Genomic DNA, 26969 nt, shown 5'->3' with positions numbered 1-26969 from the left:
TTTCTGTTGCTTAAAACAGAATACCTGAAACTGTGTACTTTGAAAAAAATGGAATTTATTGCTTATCATTCTGAAGGGTGAGGAGTCCAAGGTCGAGGGGCCATATCTGGTGAGAGCCTTCTTGCTGGTAGGGAGTCTGTAGAGTCCTGAGGCGTTTCAGGCATCACATGGAGATGGCATTGAGGATGCTACTCAGATCTCTCTTCCTCTTCTTCTGTTTTTTTTTTTTCTGTTTTGTGAGACGTAGTCTTGCTCCGTCACTCAGGCTGGAGTGCAGTGGCATGATCTCGGCTCACTGCAACCTCCACCTCCCAGGTTCAAGCCATTCTCCTGCCTCAGCCTCCCCAGTAGCTGGGACTACAGGTATGTGCCACCATGCCTGGCTAATTTTTTGTATTTTCAGTAGAGATGGGATTTCACGGTGTTAGCCAGGATGGTCTCGAACTCCTGACCTCAAGTGATCTGCCCGCTTCAGCCTCCCAAAGTGCTGAGATTACAGGAGTGAGCCACCACACCTGGCCTCTTCCTCTTCTTATAAAGCCACCAGTCCCTACTCCCATGATAACCCATCAATCCAGGACCGGATTAATCCATTTTCCTGAGAGCAAATCTCTCAAGACCCAATTACCCTTTGTTTTTTTTTTTTTGTTGTTTTTTTTTTGAGACGAAGTCTCACTCTGTCGCTCAAGCTGGAGTGCAATGGCATGATCTCTGCTCACTGCAACCTCCACCTCCCAGGTTCAAACGATTCTTCTGCCTCAGCCTCTTGAGTAGCTTGGATTTCAGGTGCATGCCACCACGCCCAGCTAATTTTTGTATTTTTAGTAGAGATGAGGTTTCACCATGTTGGCCAGGCTGGTCTCGAAATCCTGACCTCAAGTGATCTGTCTGCCTCGGCCTCCCAAAGTGCAGGATTACAGGTGTGAACCACTGTGCCCAGCCATCCACATCACCTGTTAAAGGCCCCACCTCTCAATACTGCCACACTGAAGATTAAGTTTCAACATGAGTTTTGGAGGGGACAAACATTCAAACCATAGCAGACATTTTGCACCCACACATTTCAAGATAACAACGCGCACAGAGCTGTAAAGAGACACAAATATCTCTCTTCCCTTCGGGGGGCTGCAATCTAATATGCGAATCCAGTGTAGCTTGGACCCCATTGTTCAGTGGGACTTTTTACACCTATATTCCACTGCACACACTCGTCATACACTCAGACACGAGTTTGACATCTCCCTCAACTTCAGCATTGTGAAATTTGGTGTAATCCTGAGTTTTTTTCACCACTCTTTACTCAGGGCCCTGGCAACACTTGATCCACCTAGCTCCAGTCCCTACAGGGAGCACTCCTTGAGGAAGAAGCTTTCAGTGCAGGAGAATCTGAGGGACACTCAAGACCGCTACAGCTGCAGAGCCAGCGAGGACCACGCATGTGCACCCTCAGTGCTCTGGCCCTCTGGCCAGAAACTCACCCCCTCTCATCTTAGCTCTGTCACTCAAGCGTGCTGCAGGAATCATCTTTGAATGATGAGCTCAAAGCAGTGGGAGCTGCCAGCCTCGGCGGCTGATGTGGTGAGGCAGCTGCCAGGCAAGGCTTGAGGCTCTGAAATGGATTCTGAATACAGCTCTGTGCTGGGCAGTCAGCTTTACTCTCCTAAAACATCAAATCTCAGTGTTCTCCAGTTGGAGACATCCTGAACCTGACACAGCATGTCAGCGCAAAGGAAACCACATGAAAAGAACCTCCCTTTAACCGAGGCTGGGCCGGGCTGAGTTGTTTGTTTGTTTTGTGTGTTGTTTTCTTTTAATGCTTTTCAGGATCAAAGCCTTTTACTGGATTTTTTTTTGGTGAGGTGGTGAGAAATTTTGTCTTCAAGCAAAGGTCATTGGACCAGACTTTTGGATTTAGTGACGGTGGAGGCTATAATTTTTCCTGCTGGCAGCATGAGGACCGCTGGAGAAAATTATAAAGGAGACATTGTGCCTCACTGGTGCATAGGCTGAGACCAAGGAAGTAGATTGAATGGAAAGTGACGCTTATCCTACTTTGAGTGAGAGGTGTTTGCCCAAATGAGGGCAAAACAACTTTCAGGGCCAAGGAGAATCATCAGGGCAATGAATCAATGGTGCCGGAATTTTTAACCAGAGCCATAGAATATTTTCATGCCTCTTCATGCTAAAAATCGGCCCTATGTTAACGTTTTACATAGAAATGTCCTTCAACAGGTTGAGTAGAATCACTTCGCAATCTCATGAGCCCTTAAATGGTGACCCCTGGATCCTGAGCTGGCCTGGACACAGCTGGACTGGACCAGGTTGGGTTGGGCAGGCCCTGCCTGCGAGGGACTGAACAAAAGGGACTCAAGTAGCTGTTCTCTGGAAAGCCAGGGTGCCCAAGCAGAGTGGCCTGAAGAAATATTGCCGTGACAACTGCAGCTAAACCTCAAAGGGCTGCAGGGAGCAGCATGGAGACTCCGGCCTGGCCTGCTGCCTCTCAACATGGGCACTGGCATGGAGCCCGGGTGTAGACGGGCAACAATGCAGCCCCAGACACAGGCCCTGTGAGAGGACTGCCCTCCTAAACAAATAGCAGTCCTGTGCATCCTTAGCCCCCCAGCTCCCCTGCGATTTCAGTGGCAGCTCTCACCACGAGAGAACAAGTCCCAGAGTTTGCTTGTATCTGATTTATAAGCTAGAAAACAGATCTGGTGCCTACAGGACTTCAGAAGCGACTTTCACAATTGCTTCACAGCCCCCAGCCCCAGGATCAAATGACTTCCTCCAGGCCAGACAAATTCTCATGCCAAGAGCTGCAAAGGATTTTTTTCAAAGGCTGCCAGCTATCGCATCGCTGGAGGCCTCTTCGAGGTGCCAAGGAGTAGAAAATTGCCCTCTTTCCTGATGTAACGCTAGTTTTCCTCCCATTACCAATTCAGTGTTAATCCTAGCTTTCCGACAATGAAATTGAAGCCATGAGGACTTTGTGCCCTCAATGCAGTGGCTCCAATGATGCTATACACCAAGCTAGAAAGGGTGGGAGCCTGGAAGCCTGGAGACCCAGGCCCTCCTTCTGGACATAAAATTAGCATTTCACTGCACAGAACCGTGGCTTTGTCCCCTCACCTTGCCAGGCCTGGAAGGTGCCCTGAGCCCTGCCCTGAGTTGCTAGGGAATGGGCCGTGTGCTCCAGGTCGCTTGCAGCTTCACGTCTGGTTATGAGTGGCAAGGAAGAATCTCGGGTTGACATCCAGCATCCAGGCCCACATGTCCTGCCTGCAGGGATATAGGGCATGTGAGAATGGAGGAGGTTGTTGGTTTGCACTGGCTGGAAGGCCGTGAGGTGGGGCTCAGGTGAGATACCATGTCTGAAAGTCCCCCAACTCTGAAGGGATAGTCGTTACTGGTAATAGTAACATTTACAGGGGCCTACACCAGGGAAAGTGGGTGTGCCTGAGAACTCTGCAACTTCACAGCTCACTGCAGCACGAGGGCAACTTCACAGCTTGCTGCACCACGAGGGCTCTTGAAGTTGAGTGACCACAGCCCCTACTGGTTCTGGGCCTTATTAAGCAAGAAGGGTGACCAAAACAGCAATGCATCTTGAGCCTGTTGCTTCCTCAGCTGCCTCAAACATCTTCGTGAGGGCATTGGTACAATCCTATCATCCTTACTGGACAGATAAAAACATAAATGCCAAGGTCTCTGGCCACGTTGTTTGGGAAGTCCAGGCCACAGACCAATAGCCTACCTTCCAGTTCCCAGCCCTCTCTCCTTCTCTATCTCTCCTCCCTTGTACCCATGAATCACCAGGAACTTGGTCTAAGTAACATCAAATATGCCAACTTTTTGAAGCACCCAGAAGATAGGCAAGATTTTTCATTTTTTACTCCCATCTTACTCGCTAGGAAGCCATAGCCAGAAAAGAATAAGTATTCTAAGACTTTCTCTTCTGAAACTGAAATTTAAGTGTGTGTGTATATATATAATATATATATATATGAAATTTATGTATTTATTTATTTTATTTAAGATAGGGTCGCTCTCTGTTGCCTAGGCCAGAGTGCAGTGGTGCCATCACAGCTCACTGCAGCCTTGACCTCCTGGGCTCAAGCAATTCTCCCGTCTTAGACTCCCGAGTAGTTGGTACTACTGGCACACACCACCACCATGCCCAGCTAATTTTTAAATTTTGTTTGCAGAGAAGAGGTCTCATTATGTTGCCCAGGCTGGTCTCAAACTCCTGGCTTCAAGCCATTTTCCTGCCTCGATCTCCCAGAGTGCTGAAATCACAGGTGTGAGCCACTGTGCCCGACCTGAAATTTATTTTTAGTTTAAGTTCAGAATTAAAACACTTGTGGATGACATTACTATATTAATGATAGGTCTTAGATTCTGATAATCTGATCTTATTATCACAGTCCTTCTTCTATAATTAGAGACTTTTTGAAGCCAGTGAGTAAAAATAATAGGAGTCTCTGAGTGCTGGAGAATGAATACAGCTCAAGGGAATACTGAGAAGGAACACATATTTTGGGGGTAGGTAAGGTGATTCCTGGGGCTGGAGAGAGGTCAGATGGTGGCTGCAGCTTTGCTTCACATGTTGGTGGCTCCGGTCTGGGCAGGGCAGGTCTGGGAAGGGCTGTAGCTCTTCCCTGAACATCTTGGAAACTTCAGGAGCAGAGGTGTTCCCAGGCTCCTCTCTGCTTCACAGCTTAATTGTTATATGTAATATTGTTTGGCTGTGTCCCCACCCAAATCTCATCTTGAATTGTAGCTCCCATAATTCCCATGTGTTGTGGGAGGGAGTCGGTGAGAGATAATTGAATCATGGGGGCTGTCTCCCTCATACTATTCTCATGGTAGTGAATAAGTCTCATGAGGTCTGATGGTTTTATAAGGAGAAACTCCTTTCACTTGGTTCTCATTCTCTGTCTTGCCTGCTGCCATGTAAGACGTTCCTTGCTCTTCCACCATAATTGTGAGGCCTCCTAAGCCATGTGCAACTGTGAGGCCATTAAACCTCTTTCCTTTATAAATTACCCAGTCTTGGGTAGTCTTTATTAGCAGCCTGAGAACAGACTAATACAATATGTATTTTTCTGCATCAAATGTTCCACTCTCACACAGATAACAACTCCTCCAGCTCCTTATTTCCAGAGCATTAGGTAGAGAAAAAAATAAATTGTATGCAAACATTGCTCTTTATATATTCAAAGTCTTGCCTCACAGATGCAATTGGATGCAAGTCATTTTCCTGTTAATCTACAGGTAAAATTCCTCACTATCTCCTATGCAGGACTGACAAAAAGAGGTGAGAAGGGACATCTTACCTTCATTCTCATAAATGAAGAAATGAGCCCACGACCTTTCAGGGCTTCTGTTCAGCTTGTCATAACTCAATCCCATTTTCCTGAATGGCTTGTTTAACTTTCGGAGAGTATCAGATGTACTGTGGTGAAAATAATATTTGAACAAGAAGGAGATTATTAAGTTGCCAACCAAAAAGGCATTTTAAAGATACCCCCATTAAACTGTTTAAATACCCCTGACATTAATGCACTTGGAAACCTCTTCATATTAAGGAGTCATTTTAAAACAACACACATTGTTCAGCCAGAGATACCCAATTCCAGCTTGACATTTAGCACTTAAAGGAGTTTAGAGACTCCAGGCGGTCTTATCAACTCACAGACAAGGGCACTAAAAGTCAGATGGGCTGCTTTTGCCTGGAAACCACAAGCTAGAGCTCAAAATGAACCTAGGCTCCAGTTAAGTGCTTAAAGTATTAAGAGAATCTGAAAACAAAGTACACACCATTAGCCAAATTGGTGCCGGCTTTTGATGATCTGCAGTATGTACTTGTGGCTTGGTCTTTGTCAAAAGTCTTTTAAAAGAGAGAGGAGAGGGAATGACATACTTATAACTCTTCTACCGGATACAATAGAGTAAGGAGGGCCTATTAATGAGTCGGGGCCAATCAGCATTTCTAAACATCTAATTTCCCCCCTTAAATACAATTAGCTGTAAGAGGCAACCAGCAGGGGGAAAAACCAGCTTTCCTGTGAAAAAATTCCTGGCATATATTCATGAGACAATCAGAAAGTGCAAATAAATAGGCACTAGACCAGTAAGTGCCTTTTTTCAAATTTAAAACTACAGAAGTCAAGCTTTGATCTCGTCCAAGAATAAGGGATGGAAATTTAATTATGTTTTTTCTCCAATTAACTTAGAAAATTATTTAGAAGGAAGGAAAAAATACTCTTTTGTTCCCACTGTCTTAATTTCAGCCTCATGAGAGTGCCGTGAACTAGGAACGACTGTGTCCATTTTACATATTAGAAAATAGGGAGTTCAGTGCCCTAACCATCTGCAGGCTCCCTAAATTTCGATTTCAAACTTACTTCTTGGGGTTAAGCTAGTTAGAGATAGAATGGGCATTAAAACACAGGCTACCTAGTAGAATTGCAAAAATACCTAGTAGAATTGCAAAAATTCAAAACAAAGAAAATCAAAACAAATACCCCAGATATTCTGTGGAGATGCTTTTTATTTCTTGTAATCCAATGGTATGGATCCCCCAACTGGTGCCACTTAATACAAGTCAAGTCAAAGTTCTGGGGTCACAGAACCTTCACTTAATCCCATGGTGGCCTTGGGTAGATGGCAGTGACCCTCAGTTCCCTACCTTGAGAAATGGAGATAGCACCTGCTTATTGGCATTTTCATGATGATTAATTATCATAAAAGTGTTAGATGTCATAATGCAGTTGCTCACGCTTGTAATCCCAGCACTTTGGGAGGCCGAGGCGAGCGGATCCCAAGTTCAGAAGTGCGAGACCAGCCTGATTAACATGGTGAAACCCCATCTCTACTAAAAATACAAAAATTAGCTGGGCGTGGTGGCACGCATCTGTAATCTCAGCTACTCGGGAGGCTGAGGCAGGAGAATCGCTTGAACCTGGGAGGTAGAGGTTGCAGTAAGCTGAGATCGTACTATTACACTTGAGCCTGGGGGACAGAGCGAGACTCCATTTCAAAAAAAAAAAAAGTGTTAGATGCCCGATACATACTACGGATACTATGGGCTTAATGACGAATGGTGTTTCCTTAGTTCCATAGTGCACATCTCCTCAGAAGAGGCCCTAAAAAGTACAGCATGGTTTGCTTGTGCCTGGAACCCCTTTCATTAACAGAAACTCCCTCTCTTACTCAGATGGGGCAGTTTGTAAAGCAATCATGTTATACTGCCTGCATTCTGACTGTGTGCTCCACATACACCATGCCCTAGTTAACATGGCTTCAGTACCACAAGAAGTAGACATATTCCCATAATCTCTCCATAACGCTACATATGCCACCCAAAGAGATAATATGAGGATTTTACTCCCACGTCTATTCCTATATTCTAAATAATCATATTGAAATAAATATATTATATTTAAGTTTTACCTCTTATTGGTGAACTGATCTAATCTTTATCTTAGAAATCAGTTTATCTGGTATCTTTCCCTTTTCAGTTCTTCTTTCCAGAGTTTAACACACTATTACAGAGCCACTCTTTTTATGTCTGTCTCATCATGATCACTAATTCAGCAAGTATTTATTGGTCACCTACTACTGTATACAGCAAGTACATTCTGCTAGGCACTGGGGATAAAATTATGAACAAGGCTGCCTGCAGTTCCTATTTTCATAGAACTTTCTTGCATGGTAGAGCAGGAAACAATTAAAAGGACAAATAAGATAATTATAGGCTCTGATCTGGTATGAAGAAAATAATATAGAGCTGAGAGAGGATTAATGCAGGTGTCTAGTTAAGACTCTATGAGAAGAAAGTGCATGTCTGGAGAAGAGACACTTAAGCCGAGACCTAAAGGACATTTAGGAAAATTCTCCTTTCAAGACTGAGCCTAATGCATATCCTGAACAATTGGCTTCTGAAATCCAGAAAGGATTTGCTATTATTTTAACTTTTTACACACACACACACGTGCACACACACACACGCAGCCTTTTAAATACTCAAATACTGTTTCTCCTTTAAGTAATGGACTGATGTTTCTCTGAGATGGTATTTTTTAATGTAAGACAAATGTGCATTAGAGCTCAGGACTGCTGAACATCAAATCTTTCCAAAAAGCCATTTCTGGAAAACATAAATCCTCCCATTGGCTTTAATAATGGATGTTAACATGGCAAAGGTTCATTCTTTACCTAATGCTCAAGAATTCTCAGCAGCCTCTTCACCACGCAGCTGCTGTAACTCCAGGCAGGTTTGAGACACTCTAGAATACCCCTTAAGTCATTCAGAAACTCCTTCCCTGCTTAGAAATGATTTGTCTAGCTACTTGGGAGCCTGAGGTGGGAGGATTGCTTGAGCCCAGGAGTTCGAAGCTGCAGTGAGCTATGATCGCATGACTGCACTCCAACCTGGGTGACAGAGTGAGACCTTATCTCTAAAAATAACAACAATAATAATAATAGAAATGATTTGTCAAGGGTCTGTCCAAATGGAAGGAGGAAGCTTCTAGCTCCCCATGGCTCTGACCAGGGAGCCAGAAGGAAATTCTCTCAAAGCCATTTTCCTAGAGTAGATTCCACAGGACTCGACTGGCTGGTGGTAGGGAGTGGGTGTCATAGGATCACAGATAAGGCCACAGGGCCAAAATCCTACAGGCAGAAGTTTCACCAGGAGCTGTGCTCTGAGATTAGGCAGATGTTTTTCTTTTTAAAATTTTTTAAATTTTAATTTTTGTGGGTACACAGTATGTGTATATATTTATGGGGTACCTGAGATGTTTTGACACAGGCATGCAATGTGAAATAAGCCCATCATGGAGAATGGAGCATCCTTCCCCTCAAGCATTTATCCTTTGTGTTACAAACAACCCAATTACACTCTTCTAGTGGTTTTAAATGTTAGGCAGATGTTTTTCTATCAAGACACTGAGTGAAGGAAAGAGCCAATAAAAATTCTATTGCTAGGGTGTCTGCTTCCATTGCTATTAGTGCATTTACTCCATGAGAATTGTTAGCTTTGGGGTGATTATGCACACACCCTGACATAATTATGGCCATGCTTACATACGAAATATTATCAATCTCCATGTGCCCTTTGAAAAGACCAGCCAAACTGGTGAAAGGCCCTGGTTTAAGAAGAAACCAGTATCTCCAGGAGTTTTTGCAATTATTTGACTTTTCCACAGGGAGAAGAGATGCTTGGCTTTGGTTGCACATTGACCGAAAGGAAAAGATACTGCTAATTTTGGTGTAATATTAGATTTTCCTGGGATTGTTTATTTTCCATTGCTTCTCGGACAAGTCAAAAAAGATCTGGAATCCTGGGTTTCATTGACTGTGTCCATTTTCAATTGCTAAGTCTCCATCATCTGTGAATGCTGTCTTTGCAGAAGTTTGCATGGGAACTGGTTGGTGTATTTTGCCCTAAATGGAATTACGACATTCCAAACAAGGATCGAGATCCTTCCCAAGACTGTTTCTCAGTGTTCAATGCATGTGACATAATCAATGACCTGGGCATTTGATTTGATTTTCAGCTCTTCCAGGCCCCAAAATACCAATTCCAGTTCTTGCAATACACAGACACTCAAGTTTTGATGGGCTTGTTCTGCTGTCATATCTAAGCCTGGAATCAAGTTTGACATTCAAAACAAAGCAAGTCACCGTAACTCCTATAGAACAACTAAGGCCATTTAAGGTTGAACCAGGAATTCTGCCACCACAAAGGGCAGAAAGTTTTTTTAGGTCTCTTTTTCAGACAACACACTTTTTGCATGATAATCGGAACATGGTTTATTTAGCTAGAGGTGGTGAAGCACTGAGTCATCTCTTGCAGCATAAAAAACCTGGGGTTGGCCAGGCATGGTGGCTCTTGGCCGCAATCCCACCATTTTGGGAGGCCGAGGCGGGTGGATCACCTGAGGTCAGGAGTTCGAGACCAGCCTGGCCAACATGGTGAAACCCCGTCTCTACCACTTAAAAAAAAAAAAAAAGTAAAAGAAAAAGAAAAAAAAATTAGCTGGGAGTAGTGTTGGGTGCCTGTAATTCCAGTTACTGGGGAGGCTGAGACAGGAGAATCGTTTGAACCCGGGAGGCAGAGGTTGCAGTTAGCCAAGATCACACCACTGCACTCCAGCTTGGGTAACAAGAGTGAAACTCTGTTTCAAAAACAAACAAAAACCTGGGGTTTGGGAAGGCCTGGTACAGGGAAACTGACACTCCACAGCCATTGAACTCCGGGGTCACCTCAGTTTAAACCTCACAGGCACATTCCCTGAGGTGTATGGACAAACCCCACACCTCCACTGATTTCTGGTTGTTACAGTTATGTGATAGGGGGGGATTTAATCAAAGCCAGGATTACTCCAGGAGTTGAAAAAACCCTGTGGTTGGGAAGTAAAGGAAGTATTTTTCTGGTTCTTAGCAACTCTGTAAATTCTAGATGATAAAAACACTTGTCTCACAGGGATATTGTGATTTTTAGATAAGATATCTTTGTGGGTTTTTTGTTTTGTTTTGTTTTTGTTTTTTGAGACGGAATCTCTCTCGTCACCCAGGCTGGAGTGCAATGGTGTGATCTCAGCTCACTGCAACCTCCGCCTCACAGGTTCAAGTGATTCTCTGGCCTCAGCCTCCTGAATAGCTGGGATTACAGGTGCCCACCACCATGCCTGGCTAATTTTTGTATTTTTAGTAGAGACGGGGTTTTACCATATTGGCCAGTCTGGTCTCGAACTCCTGACCTCAAGTGATCCACCCGCCTCTGCCTCCCAAAGTGCTGGGATTACAGGCGTGACTCACCGCGCCCGGCCTAGATCAGATGTCTTAATACCTACTTTCCTTCCTTCTTCCTTCATTCTTCCCTCCCTCTCTTTCTTTCTTCTTTTCTTCTCTTTCTCCCTCTCTCTTTTTCTCTCTTCCCTCCCTCTTTCTTTCCTTTCCTACTCCATTTCGAAAGAGGTATTTTGGAAAGAGATTAAAAAAAAATGCATCTTCTAGGGCTAGAAGACAGATGAATTCCTTAGACACTGTTATTAGATAACCCTTCTGTGTTAAATATCTGCTGTGTGTTTCACCCTTTGCGTACAATTTCTCATTTGCTACTCTCAGTGCTTCTGCAGTCTGGGTATTGCAATCATCTCATTTAATGATGAGAAAATGGAAGTTCAAGGAAGTTTAGCGACTTGCCAAAAGTCTTAACCTTTGATCACTACTGGATCTGAGATTTGAAGCTAGCTTTGTCTCATTTCCTAGTTTATATTCTTTCTAGAGGACCAAATTCCAATTGGTAAAAGCAAATTGTATATTCTAATCAAAATCTAAAAGAGAAGCAAAGTCAGATGGCATTGATTAGTGATTATCAAATGTACTGCATGTAAGAGAAATGTGGGATGCTTATGAAAAGGAAGAGCCCCATGACCGAACCCTGGAGATTCGGACTCAGCACTTTCAAAGAGCAAGGAGGGCCTAGGAATCTGTGTTTTAAGAAATGCCCAAGGGGTTTAAGTTGATCCAGGCTCACAATTTAACAAACACCAGTGGAGATACCATTTGTTAACATTTCCCCTCATCCTACTTCCAAGATGCAAAAATAATACACACCCGAAACAACAGCTTGCTCCTTGAGAATGACGCTAATGCTAAGGAGCCATCTGAACACGCCTACCTCACAGGTGCTGCTGAAAGGCAGGGCGCCGTCTCTAACCCACTGCAGCCATGGAACTTGGGAAATCATTTCCATAGTGCAATCACTTATGCTATAAATCACTAGTAACACTCAATCAATGCCCAATAAGGAAGTGTTGAACTGAAGAAAATAGCTAGATTCAGACTTTGATGAACTTTGTAAGTTATTGGATTTTTCTTTGTTTTCTAGAAAATGTCTGGAAGACTGTTAAGTCACTTGAACTCTGGAAGCTCTGATCATGAACAATAGTAATATTTCTATCATCAAGATATCTGGGCATAGGCTAACTTCACTTCTGAATCAGTGATGTCATGAGACCCGCCTGCAGGTGAGGCTTCCGCACATCCACCTGCACGTGCCTGCAGCAGCTCCAGACCCATCCTCTGAAAAAAAATCTGCTTTAAAAGGGGTGCTAAAGACCCACTTCTTCTGGACTGCAGTTTCTGAGGACAGTGGTTCTCCAATTTTGGCTGCATTAGAATTCCAGGGAGTCTTGTTCAAACACAGACTTCTGACTCTACCCTTCCAGATTCAGTCTCAGTAGGTCTGGGGCAGGGCCCGGGAATTCACATTTTTCACAAGCTACCAGTCGATGCTGATGCTACTGCTCTGGGAACACTCAGAGAATAATTGTCTTAGGCATTAATTATGCTTCAAATCAAGACCTTTGGATTTCCACAGCCATAGGGAAATACAGGTCCTTTGCGTCAATTTTACCTCGCGGGGAGAAAGGCTTAGTCAGTTAACTTCTGTTATATTCCTAGAAAAGTAAACTAAGAATTCGCAGTAATAGCCGGGCATGGTGGCTCACGCCTGTAATCCCAGCACTTTGGGAGGCCAAGGCGGGCAGATCACTTGAGGTCAGGAGTTCAAGACCAGCCTGGCCAACATGGCAAAACCCTGCCTCTACTAAAAATACAAAAATTAGCTAGGTGTGGTGGCGGATGCCTGTAATCCCAGCTACTCGGGAGGCTGAGGCAGGAGAATTGCTTGAACCTGGGAGGCAGAGGTTGCAGTGAGCTGAGATTGCACCACTGCACTCTAGGCTGGTGACAGAGTGAGACTCTGTCAAAAAACAAACAAAAACAAAAACAAGCAAACAAAACAAACAAAAAAACCAAGAACCCCAAAAAACTTGGGATAGGTATAACAGGGTTTAAAGATTTTAAGATTCTAGATTTTTGGAAAACTTTTGGCTACAGGCCTACTAGAAGTATAACTGCTTACTACTGTGAGGCTCAGTGGTAGATAGCCTGTTTGGCCCTGGGCATAATAAGCATTTTCTGCTAAGGCTGGTTTTTCACTTAAAAGAAGTACTGTGAAAACCAGGTATAGATTGTGACCAGACATCCTATAGAAAGGTGATCATTTCAAACCTTTAAGTCAGCTCTTTGAAATGCCATGAGGTGGCCATTGGTGGAGCAGATGGTTCTGCTTGAAAACTGCACCAAAAGGCCACATTCCCTACACATTTGTAGCTACTGGGGACACATTCAGAAGCTGGAAGATGAACCAAGTAGGGAGTCAGCATTTTGTCTCATGATGTAAAGCTCTGTTCCCATTGCAGGCAGAGGCTTGGGGACATTATGCATTTAGGAAAATCTCTCTCTTCATTTGCAAACAGCCTAAATTGTCCCTTAGAAGTAATATATTATCAAGACATTAGTGTGTATGCATGCGTGTTTGTGCTAATAATTTAACAGTTAGAATTTCCTTGCAAGTGACACAAACCACTCTGCCCTGTTGACACTGGATCAAGAAAGAAAACAGAGGTTATATTTATTAATCCATGGATATGGTTTGGATGTGTCCCCACCCAAATCTCATCTTGAATTGTAGCTCCTATAATTCCCTCATGTTGTGGGAGGGACTCAGTGGTAGACAATTGAATCAAGGGGGGTTGTTTCCCCATACTGTTTTGTGGTAGTGAATAAGTCTCATGAGATCTCTTGGTTTTATAAGGCAAAATCTTTTTCGTTTGGCTCTCATTCTCTTCTCTTGCCTGCCGCCACGTGAGACGTAGCTTTTGCCTTCTGCCATGATTGTGAAGCCTTCCCAGCCATGTGGAACTGTGAGTCCATTAAACCTCTTTCTTTTGTAAATTGCGCAGTCTTGGGTATGTCTTTATTAGCAGCATGAAAACCGAGTAATACATCTATGTTACATTATCATTCACAAGTATTCTGGCTTCCAATTTGGCTTGCTCCAGAGCTCAAATAAAGTCAGCAGCATAAATAAAGTCAGCAGCATGAAGTTTCTCTCTTTTCATTTCTTGGCCCTACCTTTCCCAGTGGAAGTCCCAAGGAGTCCTCTGGAATAGTAAATGCCCAGCTCTTAAATAACCTCTGAGGCCAGGAGCACCTGAACTACAAGCTCACCCAGGCAGCCTGGGCTGAAAGGAAGCAGAGGTGAACTCCACAGTAAAAGTGAGAGCTATTGCTGGAAGAAAATGAACAGAGAAATGCAAATAAAGGATAGCTACTATAAATGGATAACCATGGATGGATGATCAGAAAGAATGAGGAGATGGGAAGAGCTCAAAGGGAACTAGATTTGAAGAGTCCTAAATACCCTCGACTCTGAAGCTTTTTGGGCATCTATGATGCTTAAGCAACTATGATGCTTTTTTTTTTTTAATTGAGGTGGAATTTCGCTCTTGTTGCCCAGGCTGGAGTGCAATGGGGCAATCTCAGCTCACCGCAACCTCTGCCTCCCAGGTTCAAGCGATTCTCCTGCCTCAGCCTCCTGAGTAGCTGGGATTACAAGCATGTGCCACCATGCCCGGCTAAATTTTTGTACTTTTAGTAGAGATGGGGTTTCTCCATTTTTGTCAGGCTGGTCTGGTCTTGAACTCCTGACCTCAGGTGATCCGCCCACCTCAGCCTCCCAAAGTGCTGGGATTACAGGCGTCAGCCACTGCACCCAGAGCGACTATGATGCTTTTTAACCCCCCATTTTTCCAGTATTATTGGGGGACTGAAATTCTCAGCCTTTGGCAAATGTGAGTCATTTTGTCTTAAGATTTCATTGTTGGTTGTAAGGAACAGGAGAGGATACAAAGGTCACGTTTCAGGGTATTACCTTTATAAAGTTAGGTTTGGCTAAGCAAATTTCCTCCTGTCTTTCCTATCTTATGTAGTGAGATAATGTCCCTTGTTTCCTTAATACCATTTTCTTAAGGAATTTCAATGTGTGTTATAATTCCTTGATTGTAGCTCCAGTCATGAGATCCTGCTGCTTGCTCAAAGTTGCGACCTTAGTTAAGTCATTGAAACTTTCTGGACCCCAGATTGCTTTTATGTAAAATGGAGGAGTTAGTTAAATAATCTGAAAGTCTCCTTTTCAATAAATAAATGCAGCAGAAATCCCAGCCCCAGCCTAAATTGTGTCCATCCTGGGGATTCAAGTATGACCCACTGAATCTGGGAAACTAGGAATACAAGTCTTGGAAAATCCTAAGGAAAAAAGTAGCCGGATAGAATGAGCCAGAATCATGATCTCTATCACCTGAATTTTCTCTCAGTCCCCATCCCCCAGCAACTCCTCTGAAATCCTTTGTCAATGGTGACAGCTGTAAGTAAAACTCAAAAGACATGTCCCACTAAATTGCTGTAAACATGCCTAATTCAGAAGGGGAAGAGACACTTTCTTTCCTCTGTCCCATCACAACATACCAGGCAGAGTCGGCATATCGAAGGCTCTGGAATATCCTCTCCAGTTAAATATGCAATGGAACAAACAAAAATCCCCCTCATTGGAAACTCACCAGCCACCTCTGCCAACCAACTTTTCAAAAATCTTTAAGATCTAAACTTCAGGTTAAAGATAGTGAATTAAAAATATACATTTAACTCTGTTCCTTCCTAAAACACCCCTAGCCTGACAGAAGGGAATTTTCTAAAGGGTCACAAGGTTGGGAAAGGAGATGATAGCAACTGAACTTTGCATGTGGAAAAGTTAAAGAATGACTGGAGATTGATTCCGAAGACCAAAGAATGCTGAACCCTCAGCTCCTGCTGAGAAAGATGAAGATAACCACATTTGCACCGAAGACGCCCCCACAATGGCTCTGATAATGATAGCACCACGTACCTCTGGGAGTGGGGGTGAAGGAGAGACTGAAATAAGAATTGGTTAAAAGTGGTTAAGACACAAAAGCAGATTCCCTCTTTCATCACATACAGCTAAGTAACCGTCTTTTTCCTATCCTGCGGAACACTGCAGGTTTATTCTCTGCATGGAGTGAAAGTTGAAGGGACATCAAATCACTTGAGACCTGGGGGACAGGGGGCAATGGCTCACACACTGTGGGAGGCCAAGGCCGGAGGATGGCTTGAGCCCAGGAGTTCAAGACCAGCCTGGGTAACATAGCGAAGACCCCACCTCTACAAAAAAATACAAAAATTAGCCAGGCATGGCAGTGCTTGCCTGTGGTCCCAGCTACTCGGGAGGCTGTGAGGTGGGAGGATCACCTGAACCCGGGAGGTTGAGGCTGCAGAGAGCCATAATTGTGCCACTGTATCCAGCCTAGGAGACAGAGTGAGACTGTCTCAAAAAAAAAAAAAAAAAAAAAAATTCAGCTGAGACCTGGGGAACCCTTCTCAATGTTAAAAACCCACAGCTTTCTTCACACATTCAGCTTTAAGGCCCAGACTTGCCATCCAAATAGAAGAACAGAATCTGACCAGACCAAAAGAAAAGACTTACAGATACAGCTATTGTTCAGGCAGACCCTCCCACAGTGAAGCCCACAGTGACAGGCTCCTCCAACAGCCACAGACCCTCCCATCAGCTTTGTAATAGCCCAACTTAAATAGGAGCAGAAATCCTAGGCTCGCCAGACAACTGAGCCTAGCCCACTCAATACAATATATATATATATATATATATTCATTTGTAAATATTTGTTTTCTCTTCCCCTCAGCTAGGTATAAATCCATGAAAATGGGCCAGGATGCATCAATGTATATTTGGGTAACACAGAGCTGCTTAATCATAGGTATTTCACACACAGAGATGAATGAGTGATAATGGCTGAAATCTGCAAGAAACAATGTAGCAGAAGCTGATTGGTGAAAATAAGAAACTAATTTAGGTGTACTTGGGGGCCTCCCTGAAATATTCAGAGGAGAGTGTACTTTACAAGTTGCATCAGAGGTCCTGTGTGAGCAAGTGGTGGGCAAGGACATAAATTTATTGATACTGATGTTAATGAGAGTCATTTACATATTACAGATAGCCTAATGAGTCTCAGTGACATTTGGGTGACTTAAATAGCATTGTTGATTTATTGAATGTTTTCTACATGTTAGGTCCTTGGCAAAGCACTTTACATACAATCTCTTAATTAAACCTTACAACAGGCCTGTTAACATATTATCCCCATTTTACAGATGAGGAAACTGAGATTCAGAAAGGTTAAGTAATTTTTCCAAGTTAATTTGCCGATCAGTGAAAAGGTTGGAATTCAAACACCTGTCATCTGACTCTAAAACCCATTTCTGCCTTTCGCACCTCACGCTGTCACAAAACACATCAATTTTCACTTAATATAATGTGATCCTGCCCCATAAATCAAGAAGTCTCTGACAATGTGATTTTATATAAAATAAATTATATAACTAGATTCTCTTATAAAAATAAATTATTTAACTAGATTTCTAATATTGTGCAGCTAATGATTCCATTTTTTCAAGTATTACAAATAACATTGCACAGAACATCCCGGCACAGAAAAGTTTTTGCATGCTTCCCTAATTATTTCCTTAGGATAAAATCCTGGAAGTGTTCTTACTTCAAAGACCAGAAACATGTTGAAGGCTTTGATAATGCCCCAGGCTAAGTTTGTACACATGTAGGCTCCCAACAGCCGCCCCCGACATGCTCATTTCATCACACTCTTGCCAGCATGAGTAATTATAATCCTTTTCAGCCTTTGACATTCTGATATGTAAAAAATGCTGTCACTCTTTCATTTGCATTCCATTGACTGAAAATGAGCTTGAAAGTATTAACTATACACTTATTGAATTTTTCTGCTTTTTGGCAGAGATTTTCCCCACTTGTTCCTTGAGTTGTCGATCTTATCCTTGCTAATTTGTGTTAACTTTTCATATAATAAGAATACCTTTTGCTTGGAAATGTTATCGCCCCATTTGCCATTTGTCTTTAAAGTCCCTTTAACTCCCCAAGAATCTCTGCTTTACATATCTGTATTCCTACAAATTTGATTCTCATTTTGTCTGGATGGTAATGGCAGTGTTGAGATTGAAAAGGAACATTTTATCAGTGAAAGGGCAGCATGAGCTTCTGGAATCTGGAGTGGGGACATGGATCAAGGAGAGACATCAAAGGATCATGGGTTCATGGGTTCAAGACAGAAGAGAGATCAGAAGGGTGTGTAACTGAAGAAGATGGACAGGGGAATAGAGAAACAAATAAAGGATGTATTCAAATAGCCATGAATAACCTTGTAAAAGCTTTATATCTACCTGGTAAGAAAATGTTGGCAATGAATTCAAACATAGGATCCCAAGAAAAAAAAACAGGTATAACAGTTTTCTTCTTTCTTTCTTTAGAGACAGGCCATCGCTCTGCCACCTAGGCTGGAGTGCAATGGCACAATCATAGTTCACTGTAACCTCAAACTCCTGGGCTCAAGTAATCCTCCTGCCTCAGCCTCCTGAATAACTAGAACTACAGAAGCATGTCACCACACCTGTTTATATTTTTTCAAAAAAATTTATAGAGATGAAGTCTCGTTATGTTGCCCCAGCTGGTCTTGAATGAACTCCTGGACTCAAGCGATCCTCCTGCTTCAGCCTCCCAAAGCATAGGGATTACAGGTGTGAACCACTGCACCCAGCCAAGGTATAATCGCTTTCTTCACTTTTAAAAAAATTGGATCAATATAGAAGCAGTTTCTTTAAAAGGATCTTTAAAAGGGGGCCTCCTCCCTCTGCACTACTTGGTCAGTTTATAAGTGCATCTGTGTAACCTTGGAACAGAAACAAACAAGAGCAGGCCCTGTATACACCCAATCTGATGTCAACTAGCTTGTTTGCCAACTTGAGGGTCCAGATTCTCAGCTACAAAAATCATTTGCCTCAACCCATTTCTGCACCCCTGGAAGACTTGTACTTTTTTTTTTTCAAACTTACAATTTTGTTTTTAAATAAAGAACAAAAAATTAGTTTAGAAGAACTGAACCATGTATAGAATGAACTATGTACCATTTATTAAGTAACCACAAATGATAGAAAGGCATAGCATGCTTGTTATGAACCTTTGCAAAATACATCAAGAAGGCCTGGACCATGTTCTTTTCCTACATCAACATCCCAATATTTCCTTCATCTATGTAACTGTCTTTATGTCTGTTCCATACTTGTCTATTTCCTCCTTTGATATGAGTTTGTACCTTAATGTGCCTTCCTATAATCACAGAGGATATGTTAGTAGCACAGACTTCTTAATTCCCATAATCAAAACTTTGTCTTAAAATTTAAACATATGTTATTTATCCTAGTTTTCATTGATTTGGCTAATACTCCTGATATTTGCTGCTAAAATACTGAAATTCTGGAGATTCCCTTATTTTATTTTATTTTATTTTATTTTATTTCATTTCATTTCATTTCATTTCATTTCATTTCATTTAGAGACAAGGTCTCACTCTATATCCCAGGCTGGAGTGCAGTGGTGCAGTCATGGCTCACTGCAGCCTCAACCTCCCTGGGCTCAAGTGATCCTCCCACCTCAGCCTCCCAAGTAGCTGGGACTACAGGCATGTGTGACCCCAAGCCCGGCTAATTTCTGCGTTTTTTTATAAAGATGGGGTCTCACCATGTTGCCCAGGCTGGTATCAAACTCCTGGGCTCAAGCGATCGCCCTGCCTTGGCCTCCCAAACTGCTGGGATTACAGGTGTGAGCCACTGTGCCAGGCTAGATTCATTTTCTTCTAAAGCAAATACACTCTTCCTTCTAAAAACTTTAGCTGGGCATGGTGGCACGTGCCTGTAATCCCAGCTACTCAGGAGGCTGAGGCAGGAGAATCGCTTGAACCCGGGAGGCAGAGGTTGCAGTGAGCAGAGATCGCGCCATTGGCACTCCAGCCTGGGCAACAAGAGCAAAACTCCATCTCAAAAATAAATAAATAAGTAAATAAATAAATAATAATAAAATGAAAACTGCAGCCTTCCTTGTACTAAATAAAGGAAAGAGTTTTTAAAATCTTCCTAATTTTTGGAGGGAAGACATCACATTTTAGTCTAACCTTCACCCCATTAATCATGTAAAAGTTATTTAGTTGGTTGTTTTGCAATCCCTACCATGAAAAGTTTTCTCCCCTAAGGCAAATGGGAGCAAAGGCAGTTTGCTTGCTGCTCACTGGGTTTTACTTTTTAACTCTTCAAGTTGCACTCTGTGGTGTCTACGTGTACGATTTTATAGAGCAAAAAATATTGTTTACCTTGGTTTACAGATTTCTAACTTGCCAAGTTGATACATTAGAGCACAAATTAATTTTCTAAAACCAAAATCCTTCAGACAAAAGGACGTTGAGATATGAATAGATGTCTGATTGCTCTAGTTCCTATCCAGACTGAACCTTTCTTATCCTGTTAGGCTGTGCAGTACCAAGGGTTAACGTGACTGTGATGCAATCTCTCAGACATTCTCCACTCTCAGACAAAAGAAGAGAATGAGAGTGCAGGGGCAGAAATGATAAGTATGGAGTCAGACAGTTCAAAGATTTGCAGAGTTTGAACAACAGTGGCGACCCAAGGAGGACAGATAGTGAGTCAGGAAAAGTGTCTGCAGTTACAAAGCACTTCCAGAAGGATGAAGTGTTATATCGCCCAATATTTTGTGGACTTGATCCATTGCTTAATCACACTCTTACAAACTGTTTTAAATTCAGACTACAGGAAAATGTGGGGAAAGCTTATCATAAAATAAATCAAAGGGAAAATTAGATTCACTTCACCAAAACTCAGCTTATAGTTATGAGTCAATGTGGGGGAGACCACACCATGACATGGATTCCAGTTGAAATCAGATCTGAATCCAGAGGTGTTGAGTTACGGAAAATCCAAGGCAGGGCACTTGCACCTTTTTTTTGATGATTCATTTTAATTATTACTGACTTTGCCATTGAGACCTATGCTCTAGGGTCCCTCTCCAATATGCATTGCCCCATTTCTTTCTTGCTAACAGTACCTCTGTTTTGCTCATCCTTATCTAAACAGTCACTTCCTTTCAGGGAGGCTGAGCTCTTTCTCATTCTTCAAGGATGAAGTTGAGTGATGTCAATAATCAAAGTTTTCTAGGTCCCCTTAACATTCTAGTATTTCGGGGGTTTTTTGTTTTTGTTTTTGTTTTTGTTTTTTGGAAGCAGAGTCTCACTCTGTTGCCCAGGCTGGAGTGCAATGGCGCAATCTCGACTCACTGCAACCTCTGCCTCCTGGGTTCTAGCAATTCTCCTGCCACAGCCTCCTGAGTAGCTGGGATTACAGGTGCCACCACATGCCCAGCTAATTTTTGTACTTTTAGTAGAGATGGGGTTTTACCACATTGGCCAGGCTGGTCTCGAACCCCTGACCTCAGGTGATCTGCCCGCCTTGGCCTCCCAAAGTGCTGGGATTAGAGGCGTGAGTCACCACGCCTGACTGTATTTCCAAAGTGTGGGGCCAGGGGATATCTGAAAGGCATGTGAGAACATACTCCAGCAAGGCACTCTTGAGGGGTGCTCATGACCCTAGAACTAAGAAGCTATCTGGCAATCATGAGATGCCACACCTAGAGACCTGGACAACACATTAAAGATGTAGAAAGAGTGACAGCACCCAAGTCCTTGATGACAGTGTTGAGACATCCAGACTTTTGGTTATGTAAAAAGAGAAAAGTCTGTATACTTTAAGATATTTTAATTGGGTTTCAGCTACAAGCATCCTTCTGCTACAGTTAGCGTTCAGTTTAGACACTGGCAGTGGGTAGACCACTCCATTATTTTATTGTCTGTACATTTTGTGGTAGAAAAAATTATTCAAATGTATCCTATAGCATGAGATTTTTCAGTGATCTAATTAACAACAGAAAACCTAGCTTGGCATCTCTATGAGACATTCACTCAATTTCTCTCATCATACTTTCACTCAATTTCAGAAGAGCAGAATTTGTTCTCTTTTTAAAAACAATTTTTTGGGCCAGGTGTGGTGGCTTATGCCTGTAATCCCAGCACTTTGGGAGGCCGAGGCAAGCAGATCTCCTGAGGTCAGGAGTTCAAGACCAGCCTGGCCAACGTGCTGAAACCCGGTCTCTACTAAAAATACAAAAATTAGCTGGGCGTGGTGATGGGCACCTGTAATCCTAGCTACTTGGGAGGCTGAGGCAGGAGAATTGCTTGAACCTGGGAGGCGGAGGTTGCAGTGAACCAGGACCACACCATTGCACTCCAGCCTGGGCAACAAGAGTGAAACTCCATCTCAGAAAAAAAAAAATTTTTTTTTGGTAGGAAGGGCAGCACTTCATTCCATAAAATAGAATAAGTAGAACTTATTCTCTATTGCATATTCAGTCAAAAATTTATTTTTTTTTATTTCAATAGGTTTCTGGGGAATAAGTGGTGTTTGGTTATATGAATAAGTTCTTTGGTGGTAATTTCTGATAATTTGGTGCGCTCATCACCCAAGCAGTGTACATTGTACCTAACGTGTAGTCTTTTATTCCTCACCACCTGCCACCCTTTCCCCCAAATCCCCAAAGCCTCCAAATTAAAATTTTGATTTTATGTTTAACTCTGAAGTTGTTAGCACGCTGTGACCTAACATTGCTAATTGAATTCATTCAGCGTATTTTTAAAAATTAAAAAGATATTTGTAACATCTGATATCATAATATATTTAAGAGCTATTTCTTAGGTGAGGTGCCCTTATTGGCCAAAGGAATTTTTATGTGGAATTTACTCCATCACCTTTCTATAAGCAACCAATGAACTTCCAATTTCCTAGATTGACCCATACAAAATGGTCAATTTTATAGGTTAAAAATAGTTGAAGACCTTCAATTTTATATGATTCAACCTATAAAATCTGAAACTTATTCTCCATAACATCACATACCACTCTGAAAAGTCTGAAATGTAAAGACCATGCTTTAATACAATTGATCATTTCTATGCCATTCATCAACAGAATTTTAAAAGGTTTTGCCAACAAATGACTAGTTAACCTGTGGTCATTCCGCTGTTGAGTATCTCCCATTGGCAGGATGTTTGCCTTGGTCTGACCCAGAACTAAGTTTGAACTATCTATCAAATTAAAAATAGAAAGTAAGTAAATATAAGATTAAATGGTAGGACACATCAGTGCTCTTGTGAAGATGTTGGAAAAACTCAATGAATGTCAGTGATCTCTTTCCTGGTGAAAAACTTATAACTATATTTTTTTATTTGGGGAAATTCTAATATTATAATTGATTACTATTAAGATAAGTCTTAAACTTATAATATTTGACTTGACCTGGCATGGTGGCTGACGCCTGTAGTCCCAGCACTTTGAGAGGCCAAGTCAGGAGAATCACTTGAACCCAGGAGTTCGAGCCCAGCCTGGGCAACATGGCAAAACCCCATCTCTACAAAAAAAAAAAAAAAAAAAACACAAAAACAAAAAAATGAAGCAGGCTTGCCAGTAGTCCCAGCTACTCAGGAGGCTGAGGTGGGAGGATCCCTGGAACCTGGGAGGCAGAGGTTGCAGTGAGCTGAGATCATGCCCCTGCACTCCTGCTTAGGTGACAGAGTGAGACTCTGTCTCAAAAATAAAAATAAAATAAATAAAAATAAGAATAAATAAATAAAATTGTTAAAAATTTGCCTTAGTAATTTAACTTTTAGAAATTTATCCTAAGAAAACAACCAGACAGGTATTAGATAGATGATAGATAGATAAATAGATAGATAGATAGAAAGACAGACTAAGTCCAGTGGCTCACGCCTCTAATCCCAATACTTTGGGAGGCTGAGGCGGGAGGATCATTTGAGGTCAGGAGTTCGAGAGCAGCCTGGCCAATATGGTGAAACCCTGTCTCTACTAAAAATACAAAAATTAGGCGGGTGTGGTGGTGTGTAATCCCAGCTACTCAGGAGGTTGAGGCAGGAGAATAGCTTGAACCCAGGAGGCTGAGCTTGCAGTGAGCTGAGATTGCACCACTGCACTCCAGTCTGGGCAACAAAGCAAGACTTTGTCTTAAAAAAAATACATTGATAGCTAAATAGGCATAGATAGATAGATAGATAGATAGATAGATAGATAGATAGATAGGCAGACATATAAGGATGTTCATTGAAGCTTTATGTATAATAATGAATTTGGAATAAATTTAATTGGTAATAAACTATGGTGCTTCCAAATAATGAAATTCTTTGTAGCCATTAAAAATGTTGCTATAGATCCCTATTTATGCTGTAACCTGCTCCATGCTGAGCCACATTCCTGGTTCCCCTCCCTGCATTGCTTTTTCCCTAGCACGAATCCCTCAAATGTGCTCTGTAATTTATTCCTTCAATATCTGCATCCTTATCTGTAACTACCCGCTAGAATGTAAGCTCAGAGAGGACAGTGTTAAGTGTCTTTCTTCTTGGATGTATCTCAACTGCCCAGAAAAATTCTTCACAAGAGTTCTTGAGTAGGCACTCAATAAATATTTGTTGTAGGAGAGCAACTTAGAACCAGAATTTCTGTGCAAAGAAGTATAAACATGTTCAAAACCTCTAGGGCATCCTATAAAATTGTTTCTATGGAGATATATATACATTCACACTTTAAAAGGGACTTTTTAAAGCACCATGAAACATGCTCAGAGATGATAGATCATCAATATCTCCCCCCCGTTTTAGGATCTTCAGCAAAGCATAATGTGTTTTTTTCTATCAGAACTTAAAAGAACACTTTGTTCTTCCACAATCTTTTTTTCACTGTATGAACTTAAGACTGTTTTTTAAAAGTAAGCTCCTAGGATTTCCCTTTACAATCCAAATAGTTCCCTGACCTAGTCTAAAAGTCCTAATAAAGAGTTATTTTGAGATTGACTTTTCTTTTGTAGTTTTATATTTATTGCGTTTTAAGAAAGCATCTCCCAGAAACATTGCATTAACAAAATAAAATCTAGGCCGGGTGTGGTGGCTCACACCTGTAATCCCAGCACTTTGAGAGGCCGAGCCAGGCGGATCGCTTGAGCCCAGGAGTTTGAGACCAGCCTGGGCAACATAGGGAGACAATGTCTCTGCAAAAAGATATAAAAATTAGCCGGGCATGGTGACACGCAACTTTACTCCCAGCTACTTGAGAGGCTGAGGCAGGAGTATCGCTTGAGCCCGGAAGGCAGAGGTTGCAGTGAGTTGAGATCGCACCACTGCACTCCAGCCTTGGTGATAGAGGGAGACCTTGTCTCAAAAATAAATAAATAAATAAAATAAAAATTAAAAAGTAAAATATACTAGCAATATTGGTTTACAGAGGATAGTTTGTATATAACTTACTCATAATATTCCACTTGGTCCTTTGTCATTAGTGACAAAACGCCCTGTTCTCTGTACAACTAAAACAGTCCCCCAATCAGTAGCAGAGGGTCTCTCATAAGGAAGGAGTGCCAGCCCAGGAGTGAATATCACTATGAGACCATCTTTAAGACAGAGCTGGAAGGCCAGGGTTCCATGTCCACAGGTCTGGTAGAGCTAAAACTCAGGAAAATGCCAGTTTGAAAGGCTGTGAATGGAGAACCAAACCAATAACTTGGAGAGTTCCAATGTGAGGAACACACAGAAGTCGATTCCTGATGCTACTCGAAGCCAGACCTGCACCGGGCTGAAGGAGCTAGAAGTCCTGTTCTGAGTTAAGCTCCCTCTCCCACTATTGCTAGGAGCTCCCTAAACTTGAACATTTATTTGCAGAGAGCATCATTGGTGGGTACAGAGCACATGCCCCATTGTTCAGACCTGAGGTTTGGAGCCTGCAATAGTTTTTCTCACATATTAAGGTTTTTTAAAGCCTTCTTCTTTTTTTGTTTTTGGTTTTGAGATGAGTTCTTGCTCTGTCACCCAGGCTGGAGTGCAGCGGCACAATCATAGCTCACTGCAGCCTCACACTCCTGGGCTCAGGTGATCCTCCCACCTCAGCCTCCTGGGACTACAGGTGTACGCCACCACACCTAGTTAATTTTTTAATGTTTTTGTAAAGACAGGGTCTCACCATGTTGCCCAGGCTGGTATTAAACTCCTGGTGGTCTTCTTGAAGTTGGTTTCTGGGACTCCTCAGGCCGGATCTATGACAAAAGAAATAGTCATGTATTTTACTTTTACTGAGCTTTTATTTTATGTTATAATTGTCTTGTACCAGGTGGCTTTACAAACACAGCCTCATTAAATATTTACGACAGAGTTCTATGAGGTGGCCATTATGATTTCTCTCTATTTATACTGGAGGAAAAATAAAACACAGAAAGGTTGATTAACTTACCCAAAGTCACACAGCTAATAAAAGATGGAGCCAGGACTTAGAAGTCAGCTCTGACTTAACCATTGTGGTATTCAGTGTGTCCCAGTTAATGCATCCCACCCAGAACTGATGAGCATTTTCTCCTCATTCAGAAACAAGAATAGGAACAACCACCCCTCACTCTGCAATAACCAGAGGAAGCAATTTACATTTTATACGCTTGCCTTTAAAACTCTGTCTTTTGAATGTTTTAAAAAAACAGTCCTGAAATTTCAGTGAAATTAAGACATGTTTAAAATAGGTTGGCTCTCATCCTTGGGACCCTGTTGTTGGCAAAGTGGTTTCACGATTGCCAGTTGTTGAGAGAGTTATCTTTTATGTCCTAAAAGAAAAGACTCTTTTTCAAATGTAACTTCACTTCTCACGTTCTGCCTAGCCAAAATGTATTGCTATTCTGTTAGTCACTAGTGAATTGAAAGGGTTGTTTAAAAAAGAACCAAAATCTGCATAAATACGCAGATAAGTTTAGAGATCAAGTAAAAGCTCTCAGAATCATTCATTGTGATGCCTGAGAGCTGAGATTTCCCCCATAGGCAATCCAATAAAAGAAACTTGACTACTGAGATAAAGCCCAGACCTGTGTCCTGTGCCGGCTCCTGAAATCAGTGGGACTGGCATTCTCACTCTCTGGCATTGATGGGAAAGAGAAAACTCAACCTAGATTATCATGAAATTATTCCTGATGCCTGGTCACATGAACTCCTGAG

At 42.2% G+C, this 26969-nt stretch overlaps 1 long non-coding RNA gene across 1 annotated transcript; it reads right to left on the bottom strand.

The window, feature by feature from the left end:
- Positions 1–5358: 5358 nt before the first annotated feature.
- LOC107984174 (uncharacterized) lies at positions 5359–26892 on the bottom strand. Its single transcript, XR_001747284.1, has 3 exons — positions 26840–26892; positions 25957–26029; positions 5359–5455 (listed from the first exon to the last, which is right to left on the bottom strand). It is a non-coding gene; the product is annotated as an uncharacterized LOC107984174 (long non-coding RNA).
- Between the last annotated feature and the right edge of the window lie 77 nt (positions 26893–26969).

The sequence above is a fragment of the Homo sapiens genome, chromosome 10 (genome assembly GCF_000001405.40).
Source record: "Homo sapiens chromosome 10, GRCh38.p14 Primary Assembly".
NCBI classification, from domain to species: domain Eukaryota; kingdom Metazoa; phylum Chordata; class Mammalia; order Primates; family Hominidae; genus Homo; species Homo sapiens.
This window is presented reverse-complemented; position numbering and strand designations above follow the sequence as displayed.